Source organism: Homo sapiens, chromosome 2, assembly GCF_000001405.40.
Source record: "Homo sapiens chromosome 2, GRCh38.p14 Primary Assembly".
Taxonomy (NCBI): domain Eukaryota; kingdom Metazoa; phylum Chordata; class Mammalia; order Primates; family Hominidae; genus Homo; species Homo sapiens.
Genome location: NC_000002.12, coordinates 47,913,377 through 47,925,525, shown reverse-complemented (window position 1 = coordinate 47,925,525; position 12,149 = coordinate 47,913,377). Strand labels below are relative to the sequence as shown.

General features: G+C 40.5%; 1 long non-coding RNA gene across 1 annotated transcript; it reads right to left on the bottom strand.

The window, feature by feature from the left end:
* Positions 1 to 8,565: 8,565 nt before the first annotated feature.
* LOC105374590 (uncharacterized) lies at positions 8,566 to 11,193 on the bottom strand. Its single transcript, XR_001739452.2, has 3 exons — positions 9,883 to 11,193; positions 9,743 to 9,780; positions 8,566 to 8,748 (listed from the first exon to the last, which is right to left on the bottom strand). It is a non-coding gene; the product is annotated as an uncharacterized LOC105374590 (long non-coding RNA).
* Positions 11,194 to 12,149: the final 956 nt, after the last annotated feature.

The window sequence follows — 12,149 nt, the reverse complement described above, 5'->3', positions numbered from 1 at the left end:
GCTTACTGCAACCTCCACTACCCAGGTTCAAGTGATTCTCCTGCCTCAGCCTCCTGAGTAGCTGGGATTACAGGCACATGTCACCACGCCCAGCTTATTTTTGTATTTTTAGTAGAGAGGGGGTTTCCCTATGTTGGCTGGGCTAGTCTCAAACTCCTGACCTCAGGTGATCTGCCTGCCTCAGCCTCCCAAAGTGCTGGGATTACGGGTGTGAGCCACCATGCCCGGCCCAGCTTCAGTAGTTTTTTTATGTGAAAATATTATTAAGGAAAATTTTTAAGAGTTTTTCTTTGCTAGAAATGTATATTGATATGCTCATAGATAAAATTACGATATCTAGGATTTACTTCAAAGTAATTGAGAAGGCTGGGCACAGTGGCTCACGTCTGTAATCCCAGCACTTTGGGAGGCCAAGGCAGGTAGATCACTTGAGGTCAGCAGTTCGAGACCAGCCTGGCCAACATAGTGAAACCCCATCTCTACTAAAAATACAAACATTAGCTGGGTGTGGTGGCACACGCCTGTAATCCCAGCTACTGAGGAGGCTGAGGTGGGAGAATCACTTGAACCCAGGAGGCAGGAATGCAGTGAGCCAAGATGGCATCACTGCACTCCAGCCTGGGCAACAGAGTGAGACTGTGCCTCAATTAAAAAAAAAAAAGTAATTGGGTAGAGAAACTTGGGGAATATAAATGAAGCAACATTGACCATGAGTTAATAATTATTGGGGCTGGATGGTAAGTACATAGGAGTTCTTTATATTCTATTATATACATTTGTGAATGTTTGAAATTTCCCATAATAAAATGTTAAACAAAAATTTAAGAAGCATATGGAAGAGGAAAAAAATATTCTCCTCTACCCTCACAGGTTCTGTAACTGGAGACTGCCAATGAAACTGCCAAAAGGCAGATTAACAGGAGAAAAGACATACAGACTTCATCTGATGTTAACAGTTTAATTTTTACATGCATGGAGGCCTTCATAGAAAAGAAGTGAAGGCCTAAAGAAGTGATTATAACCTGGGACTTATATATCATTTTAACAAAGAGTAATAAATTGTGAAAAGGGGTTTGTCTTCTAAGAGCTGTTAATTGTGAGAAGGAAAATATATGGGGGAAACTAATGGAGGATAAGGGTTATTTTAGTAAAGTTTGTGCAGATCCATTTCAGTGCTTTCTATCTCCAGTGATGTTATTCTCCTGCTGGTATGGAAAAAGGGAGGGAGAATACCTTCACAAAGGGAAATTTATGCCCTATTTTAGGAAGATAGGAGGACAAAGAACTCTTTTTGTGTTTGCTGCTTCTTAATTGCCTTCAGCTCAAAATAAATCCTTATGCCAAAGTAGCATGTTTTTGGTGGCATATTCTAATCCCCTTCAAGTACACTGATTCAAGAAAAGTTGTTTATTTTGCTATTATTGTCAACAGAACACAAAGTACATGAAAGTCTGAATTATAACAACATGATTATTTTGCTAAAAAAGAAAATACATTTTATTATGTAATTAATATATAATTTATGAATTATGTGCATATTTATCTTGTCATCCAACATTACCAGTCCATCAATGGAACACCCAAATGCACAATAATAACTAAGTCCAATTATTTTTGCTATCTAGCTGACTTTCAATTATATGAAAACCATTGCTTTACACATATTTTTAAAAATTTTGAGACCGGGCACAGTGGCTCACGCCTATAATCCCAGCACTTTGGGAGACCGAGGCAGGCAGATCACCTGAGGTCAGGAGTTCAAGACCAGCCTGGCCAACATAGTAAAACCCCATCTCTACTAAAAATATAAAAATTAGCTGGGCATGGTGGTGGGTACCTGTAATCCCAGCTACTCAGGATGCTGAGACAGGAGAATCGCTTGAACCCTGGAGGCGGACATTGCAGTGAGCCAAGACCGCGCCACTTCATTCCAGCCTGGGCAACAAGAGTGAGACTCTGTCTCAAAAGAAAAAAAAAAAGATTTTGTCATCATAAAGGTATACTTGACAATTTGTCAAGGAAGGTGGATAGAACGTATTTATTTAATGGTTTGTTAGCTTCATTTATAATCTTAATGGTTTAGACCTGTTGTATGTAGCCCTCTACTTGAACTCTTGTCCTGGGTACAGCAAATGTTAGGGACATGCATGTTATTCTCAGATTTTCCATTTTATTCTTAATTTTAACAACTAAGAATGTTTGGGTGAGGATTCCCGGTATAATAATTTTATTTAACTTAAATTTGTCTTCCCCAAAATATTTTTAAAAAACAGTGTATACTTTTACTGGATATTAGATCCATATCTGAGATATCTGGATCTCAGATATCTCTGAATATTTTACCCTCAGCAGGAATCATGTATATTCATGATTGTGTTGATACTGTACCCCCTTTTTACCCCCAAAACAGCCATCATCTCTTTAGCAAGAATAGATGAGATCAAGTTACAATCCTTTCAGGGAAGACAATAGGGGTGATTCGAGATAACTGGTCATCCACATCAAGAATGTTTTGTAAAGTGCTAGGAGTGGTGGCGCACACCTATAATCCCAACACTTTGGGAGGCTGAGGCGAGAGGATTGTTTGAGGCCAGGAATTTGAGACCAGCCTGTGCAACATGGTAAGTCCCTGTCTCTACAAAAAAAAATAAAAATTAGTTGGGCATGGTAGTGCATGCCTATAGTCCTAGCTACTCAGGAGGCTGAGGTGGGAGGACCCCTTGAGCCCAGGAGGTCATGGCTACATTGACCTGTGATCTCAGCACTGCACTCCAGTCTGGACAACAGAGCAAGACACTGTCTGAAAAAACAAACAAACAAAAAGAATGTTGTGTAGATAATTCTGTTTATAATCCCAGCCTCATGTTCAATACAAACATTAGGAAACATTAGGCCTCAGGGGCCAGGCGCAGTGGCTCACACCTGTAATCCTAGCACTTTGGGAGGCCGAGGCGGGTGGATCACAAGATCAGGAGATCGAGGCCATCCTGGCTAACACAGTAAAACCCCATCTCTACTAAAAATACAAAAAAAAATTAGCCGGGCGTGGTGGCGGGCGCCTGTAGTCCCAGCTGCTGGGGAAGCTGAGGCAGGAGAATAGCGTGAACCCGGGAGGCGGAGCTTGCAGTGAGCCGAGATCGCGCCACTGCACTCCAGCCTGGGCAACAGAGCGAGACTGTCTCAAAAAACAAACAAACAAACAAACATTAGGCCTTAGGACATTAATGTAGAGAGTTTGAGATCCCTTATCTTCTGTATGACGGAGACATTTAGAATCATATTTTCTTTGCATGTGATCCGCAAATTAGAAAATGCAAGGGTATAAAGAAGCCAAGGTAATTATCTGGACAACAGTTTATCCAGATAACCAATGAGCAACTAGTTAGTTTGTTTTACCTAAACTATCCATATATTCATACCCCTAAAACCCTTTTTCTGCTGCATGATGACTAAAATCTCCATGAGAGGCAACATTTTCTGACTCTTGAAAAAACTAGTTATTTACAGTAAAGTACATTAATATTGCATATCTCCAGTTCCAAGATACTTTTGATCATAGCATTGGCCAAAAATGTAGTAATCACTTTTTTAGGAGACAAATAAAAAGACTCTAAAGTTAATTCTAATTTCAGGAACACCGAAATGTGAAAAAAAGTATGTACTAAATGTCTTAGAATTGAGAAAACACTAAAAATATTTAAGTATGCATTAGAGTTATGAAAGTTATTCTTATGAAGACTTTAGGGAGTGACAGGAGTCACAGAAAGGTATACATGTGGGTCACTATGTAGGGATAGTATGGTGGCCCTCAGCTCTGGTCACAAAGGTGTAGCATTCAAGCTCAAGGACATGGGGGAAGAATATAAAAAGCAGAGAAAGGAAGCTTGAAGGCAGCCATGGGTCATGCAGGCGTGGGGCACAAGGATACATGACATCAGGAAACTGGTCTAGGTCTGGCTCTGACCCCAAATCATCATAAATAACCAGAAACCTACAAGAAGTTACTAGGGTGGGCTCTCAAACGTCTGAAACTTTTCCTGGCTTATTGTTAACATAACAGGCAAAAAAAGCCCATGACCTTTCAGTTAGCCTGCTTGAGAAATAGGGCTGAGTGTTCCACCTCCTTGAACACTTTAAATTATATTTAATCCCATTTTAGTGCAATGTTAAAATATTTTTAATTCTATTTGTTAAGAAATGCAAAATGTTTTGAGACTAAATATCGGAGGGTATAGTCATTAGGTGTTACTGTGTTAGCCCAATAATTGGCTCCTTTCCTGTAATGGATGAATCTGCTTCAGAATGGAAAAAATAAATTAAACAGAAAACAAATTCTCTACATAAAGGTCATATGAGCTTTTTGTAAAGAGGAATGAGGTATTACAAGAAGTTTACTGAGCACCTGGTATTTAGTTCTGGTGGCTTGCTTCACTCTGTAAAAGCCAATAACTAGTGTTTGTGAGTCTGAACTATTATAATGGCCACTTTCATGTAATAATCACATCGTTATTCTCTAACTGGAATAAACACCATAAAAATTGTGGGTACTATGTGACTAAATAAGTGAAACAAATATCTTTTAACAGTTTGGGAGTAAGAACAGTGTTTGAAGATGAGAACAGGAAAAAAAAAAGAGGCATTTTGGCTGGGCATGGTGGCTCATGCTTGTAATTCCAGCAATTTGGGAGGACAAGGTGGGAGGATTGCTTGAGGCCAGGAGTTCAAGACCAGCCTGGGCAACATAGTGAGACCTTGTCTCTGCAAAAAAACAAAAATAAAAAAATTAGCCAGTCATGGTGGTGTGTGCCTGTAGTCCCAGCTGCTCAGGAGGCAAAGGTTCAAGGATCACTTGAGCCCAGCAGGTTGAGGCTGCAGTGAGCAGTGATCACACCACTGCACTCCAGCCTAAGAAACAGGGCAAGATTCCGTCTCCAAAACAAACAAACAAAAAACACCAGAAAGGAAAAGCAGCATTTTGAATATTTTTGGCAGTTTTGATTCTGCCTTCAGAATTCACTTTGGAATCTACTTTCAAAGACTTAACTGGATACAAACTGTTATAAAACATCTTCAACATGTCTCTGGATATCTCTTTCCAAGCCCCTTTCTAGGTAGAGAGGCCAGACTGTCCTTGGGTTGAGAAACACTTTGGGTTTTATGTATCATTCTATTCTGAAGCTTTGGGTAAGATGATATCAGATAGTAACCAAAGGAACTGCCTCCGTTCACTGAGCTCACACTATGCACCAGGCACTGTGCTGGGCATCATGGAACCAAAGACGACTAAAAAAGTCCTTGCTTTTCAGAAGCTTTAATGTGATGGTGGGGGAGAAGTCAGTGTTTGGGGTCAGATGAGTAAACAAATCATTAGGCTATCAGGTATTGATTACCAGCAGGGAGTACAAACAGAATTACTTAAATCAGTCTGCAGTGTGTGTCTTGGAGGTGGAAGATGGGATGGCAGTGGTACACAGGAAGGCCTTCCTGCAAAAGAAAAGTCAGAATTTAAAGTCTTAACTAAGGAATAGAAATCAGCAAGATGAAATGTGACAAAGGAGTATGGAAGAGCCTTCTTGGCAGGAGGAACAGAATAAAATAGGCAGAAATTGGCAAGTCTTCAGATGGAGGCTGAGGCAAAAAGAGAAAGAGGAATCTCATAGATGGGCAGGTAGAAGCTGTGAAGGGGTGAGTAGAGCAGTCAAAATCATGTTTAATCAGGTTTCATCAGACAACTTCTGTTAACTCAGTTTTGGGGAATGTTCCTTCCTCTCATTAATTGGTCCCTTTGTCCTAACACATGTCATGGCTTCTAACCTGGCCTCAGTAAAGAACAAGTCAATAACTAACCTCACTTTTCTGGGTTTGGCTTTTTGGCAAGTCACTGTCTTTCTAGCTTTCTTCCTGTACTCCATTCCTGATATTCATTCCTGTTCAACGGCTCCATTCAGTGCATTTTGTTGCTTGTTTGGCCAGTGGTCCAGGTAGCTAAAAACTAGTTAAACTTAGTTTATACTTGTTGATCTTTCTTTGCTAGAAAGACTACAGTTACTCAAAATAAGCACTCTCTTAGTTTTTTGGGTTAAAAAAATGATTTTAAAAAAATTGCTAAGAACCAAGGGCTCAGGGCCAAGAAAGCCAATAATAATGATAATAGCTACATAGTGGACATTTGCTGGTTGTTTCCTCAGTGTGTTAGTCCTGCCTTCTCTTCTCCATGGCACTTTTATTTCATTCCGGGAATCCACTCCTCCCCACACAGCCCATGTGCTTCCAGGGAAGCTGACCCATTCCCTGGTTCGTTAAATCTAACCATCATATTCCATCTTCCTATGCACGACTTTTGGTTCCGGGGAGGCATGTGATTTAACCAAGTAAATGTCAGGATATTTTGGGACCAAGTTATTCTCTCTAGATATGGACAAGGGAACGTGCACTTCTATGGAGCTGTTGGCAGCCATCTTGTGATCATAAGGATTGCTGGCTTTAGAATAAAGCTGTAGCTACAGAAGGCAGAGTGGACATGGAAGGAAATTGAGTCCTTAATGATATGGCTGTGTTCTTAGGGACGTAAGACTTAAAGAATCTGAATTCTTAGTAACGTAAACTAACACCAAAGCGTACACTACCTCTTGATTTTTCAATTTTATGAACCAACATATTCTTTTATTGTTTAAGCCAGTTCATGTTCTACTTTTTCTGTTACTTGGAATATAAAATGTTTTATGCTATATAGTTACTATTTGTTGAGAGCCTACTATGTGCTAGGCATTGTAATGAGTGTTCTACAAAGAATAATTCTCACAATCATTTTGGTGTTTTTTTGGCTTTTTTTTTTTTTTTTCAGTCAGGGTCTCGCTCTGTTGCCCAGGCTGGAGAGTGCAGTGGCACGATCATAACTCACTGCAGCCTTGAACTCCCAGGCTCAAGTGATCCTCCCACCTGTCTCCTAAAGTGCTAGGATTACAGGCAGGAGCTGTGAGGCCCCAATTGTGGCAAAATACACACAACATTACATTTTCCATTTTAATAATTTTTAAGTGTACAATTCTGTGGCATTAAGTACATTCACAATGTTGTAGAACCATCGCTACTATTTCCAATCACAATCATATTTTGAAGTAGGTATAATTATCCTCATTTTACTAAAAAGGAACTTCCTCAGAGAAGTGCATTACCCAAGTCAGACCACCAGTTAGTAGCATAGTCTGATTTAAACCCAAGTCTGCCTGCAAAGCCCATGTTTTTCTGCTTCATTATAGTGCCAAATTAAATTATCAAGCAAGGAAACAGGAAATCTTGATCAAGTTACCAGCTCAGGGTCCACAACGTAGAGATTAGGATCTTGGGAGAAGCAGATACAGAAAATAGGAAACAAGGTAAGGAATAAAAAGTGATCAGAATCCAAGTCATCAAATGTAGGACACGAGAGGCTGGAGTCAGGGGGAGAAGGGAAACCATTTAGGTTCATCAAGTAGTGTTAGAAAGGGGCCTCATCGGTGGCGGCTTGAAGAATATCTGGTTGTACTTGTTCACCCTACTCTGGTTTGTAGGTGAACAATTGTTGCCCTGCCTGCTTACTTCCCCAAAGGATCCTGACCTGAAGTCTAATAACAAACTATATTTTAAAACAAAAATACCCTCAATTTTATGTTAAGCATTCATTAAAATAAGTCACTTAATAAAGTTGATCTGTATCAAGAGGGAGACACATCCTGTGGTGGGGCCTGGTCCTTTAAATGTGGTCTGTAATGACTAGAGAGCTCCATTTCCTTCTTGTTAGGACAAGATGGATCCAAATAGAGTTTCCCCACCTCCCTCACTGTCCCCACACCCACCCCAAATCACAAGCTTCTGGGCTAAAAGCTATCCGTCTTTGATGAGTATCTCATAATTATTTACTTTTTAACTAAAGCTATTAGAACTCTAGAAGGTGTTTAATCTGTTGATCTATTTGTTTTCAAAAGTCTGACTCCTTTCATTTGTGATTCTCGGTAAGTAGCAGCTTAAAGGGTTTTACTTAGACAAAAAGATCAGTTCCCTAATTTCCAATTTCCGTAAGTGTAAATTTCTACAGTGTCAGAGGCTGTCTTGAAGTGGGGGAGGAGAAGTTATGAGAATGGATTGGGTAAGACACCTTGATGTTTTCACACCCCAAAACCTGGAACTCTATACCAAGGCCTCTTCTCCAGCTATGTACAAAAACTACTAATATTTTCTCAAAAATTATTTTATATATAAATATATGTACTGACCTTAATGATTCACTTACTGTCCACTGAATAGCTAGGAGACAGAGACAAGAGCCCTATGGAGCTGCCAGGCATGGTGGTTCACGCCTGTAATCCCAGCACTTTGGGAGGCTGAGGTGGGCAAATCACCTGAGGTTGAGAGTTCGAGACCAACCTGACCAACATGGAGAAACCCCATCTCTACTAAAAATACAAAATTAGCTGGCCGTGGTGGTGCGTGCCTGTAATCCCAGCTACTTGGGAGGCTGAGGCAGGAGAATCACTTGAACCCAGGAGGCGGAGGTTGCAGTGAGCCGAGATCGTGCCATTGCACTCCAGCGTGGCCAACAAGAGCAAAACTCTGTCTCAAAAAAAAAAAACAAAAAAACCCTATGGAGCTGATGCCATTTGACATGGTTGCCACATGTATGTGGCTAATCAGCCTTCTTCCTCTAGAGCAGCATTTGGGGAGTGAATGTCCATCATATGTGTAAACAGTCTCTTCAGTAATATAGTTTTTCTGGAAAACAAAACATAGAAATCTTAAATTTTTTTCTCCTTATCTTTTCAGTTTTCACCCTTTCCTTCCTCTCCATGACCACCACTCCTTGCAGTAGCCTATCTTGTTTGGGGCCATGGGAGATGAGGGCTGTGTCATGCTGCACAGCAGGTAGCCCAAACTAAGCAATAGGATAAAAGACAAGCTGAGAATGGACTGACTCAATTCACGCAGGAGTCTTGGGAAAAGAAGTGATCTGGCACTCCTTCAAACCAATATTCTTTAAATAGCTGAGGGCAGAGAGAAATTCATTTTCTATTAATATAAAATGTATAGCTCTTTATGGTCAAAATAAAGAATTTATTATATGCACTGAATATCACAGTATTTCCACTTATTTGGAATTATCTTTCATTTAACATTTGTCCCATTACTGATCACTCGAATAGCAATAGTTACTCACTTACCAAGCAGAGAGGTAAATTATACTTTCAAAATCTTGCTCAAAAATCTACTTACGAGTTCTTTTTTTCCCCTAGTTTTTATGCCCTAAAAACAGTTCTAACTTTTCCAAAGTACTTATTCTTTCTTAATTTTTCTTTTGGGAATTTCTGAGCCAGACAATCTCATGTAGACATGTTCTGGCTTTAAAATGTAGAAAATAACCAACTGTCCCCCAAAATAGTGTTACAACTTTGGGGTAGAATTCCAAACACAAATCCTACCACCACCTCTTTTTCTAACCAGTTTTCCTGAGGGAGCATGCACACCTGTATCTATACCCCAATAAGAGAACTCCAGTACCATTTTATTAGTAAGCAAACAACCAAACTTAAAGTGAAGCTTGGGTCATGGCTGGGTAGAGGCTAGAAAGCCTATGTGAGGCCTCTTACTTTTCCAACTCCAAAACAAAATCTTAGGACCCCTCCAAGCGTGCCAGAACTCAGAGTGAGAGTGAGGATAAGATAAGAACAAGATTCAAGTGGAGAGGTATCAAGAGCACAAGTCCACCTACCTTTCCAGGTATCAGGATGAGGTTGGCCTGCCAGACCCCTGGAGTTGGGAACAGAAAGGGGAGAGGAGGAAGATTGGAGCTTCTCACCAGAGGTGCCCATCTGCCTCTTCCCCTGTGACCCCCACTGCCTCTTTATTTACCTAGTACAAGGGGGGAAATGTGCAAAACAGCCTGTTGCTCCTAGGAGTATGAGATGAAAAAGCAGGCATTAGATCCTGTCCGAGATGAAAGTGAGTGCCTTTCAATGTCACTATCCCTTTCTCTAGTGAACTGTCCCCAGTGTCTCTGACCAGACTAGTCACTTCTTCCATGTGGAGGATTTAATAAGAGGGTAGATAGAGGGGCAGAAGGTTAGGTGGGGGTTCCCTTCTTTATGAGCTCTGGCAGAAATGCAGGGAGAAAAGCTGAATACCCACCAGCCCCCCACTCTCCAGACCCTCTTATTCTCTCTTTAACAAATGGGCTAAATAATCAAACCTTTGTTCCACTAAGACTGTCCAACTAAGAGAGATTAGCAGTTCCCTCAGTTATTGCCATTGCACCACTGTAACTTCCTGAGACCAATGAGATGCACAGTTAATCTGTTCTTCCCAAGATTTTCTTATGGGTCAGGATAGGTCATTAATCAACTTAACTTCAAGACCATACTGCATCCTACGCCAAATATTCACTCCCCAGTCTATTTGCCATCAGAAATTATGTCATCATATTGTCCAAAATTGGTCAACAGAGATTACTTTTGAAAGTCCAAATAAAAAAACAGAGTGGCTGAAAATGGAACAATGTGAAGCCCTTCCCATTATTAAATTCCCGGGGAAATTCAAATCCAAAATGAATTCCTCTTCCTATTGTCAACTGAACTCCAAAGACCTTAAAGCCCAAGATACTCTTCTCTCTAGTTTCCTGATCTTTTCAGTACCTGTGAGAGGGCTCTCCCTCAAAGGCCTTGGGGTTCGGAGTCATTCAGCAGCCACTGCATCTTCTTCCATTACAATGGGTGTAGCACTTTTAGTACCTGCAAAATTGAAGTAATCCACCCAAATCTCTCTTGTCTCAAAAATGCAGAAGCAGATGTGACTCCTATAGTAACAGCACTGTAAAACAAAATGATGTTCCTAGAACCCAGTGTTTAAACCCTGGTTGCTGTCACCTATCAAAGACCTCAGCAGCCTTAGTGTTCTCTTGGGTAAGAAGAATAATGTAGAGGAAACAAAAATGAAGAGAGAACATCTTCTTGGTTTCCTTATTGCCATGATGCCTTTTAGAACATGTCCATTTTCCAACTGCTACATGTGAATTTAAATTTAGTTGGGATAAATTTCTCATCAAGAGGTTAATTGTGACACTACGTTTTCAATAAGGACACAGCTGACTTCCTATAAAACATGTTCAAATGTATTTTTGTAAAAAATACAAAAAGTAGCCTGGCGTGCTGGCATGCACCTATAATCCTAGCTACTTAGGAGGCGGAGGCTGCAGTGAGCTGAGATCGTGCCACTGCACTGCAGCCTGGGTGACAGAATGAGACTCGGTATCAAAAAAATAAAATAAAATAAAATAATTAGCTGGGTGTGGTGGCACGCGCCTATATTCCTGACTACTCAGGAGGCTGAGGCAGGAGAATCACTTGAACCAAGGAGGTAGAGGCTGCAGTGAGCTGACGTTGCACCACTGCACTCCAGCCTGGGTGACAGAGCAAGACTCCATTTCAAAAAAAAAAAAGCATACCTGCTTCGCCACATACAACGTCCATGTAATCTTAAAATTCATTAAGGCTTGGGAGATTGCAGTGAGCCAAGATCACGCCACTGCACTCCAGCCTGGGTAACAGAGTGAGACTTCGTTTAGAAAAAAAAAATCATCAAAGCCTGAAATGACACTACCACCACCACCACCAACAGTAACAGTAATGGCCAGCAGTTTACTGAGCCCTGACTATTCACCAAACACTGTTCTAAGCACTTTATAGGTATTAATTTGCTTGATCCTCACAGCAATCCCACAAAATGAGGACTATTATCACCTCCGTTTTACAGATGCAGAAATAAGCAAAGAGAGGTTAAGGAATTTGCCCAAGGAAGTGGCAAAGCTCCCTGTTGGTTTTCCACTCTCACATCTGCCCAAACTTCTATCACCTACCAATCCTTCCCTAATATAAATGCTTTTATCGTTTTGGCCTAGTCTTCTCTCAACACTTAGAAATTGGTTCTGTTCAAATTGAAGGAGATAGAGACACAAAAAACCCTTCAAAAAATCAATGAATCCAGGAGCTGGTTTTTTGAAAACATCAACAAAATTGATAGACCACTAGCACGACTAATAAAGAAGAGAGAAGAATCAAATAGATGCAATAAAAAATGTTAAAGGGGATATCACCACTGATCCCACAGAAATACAAACTACCATC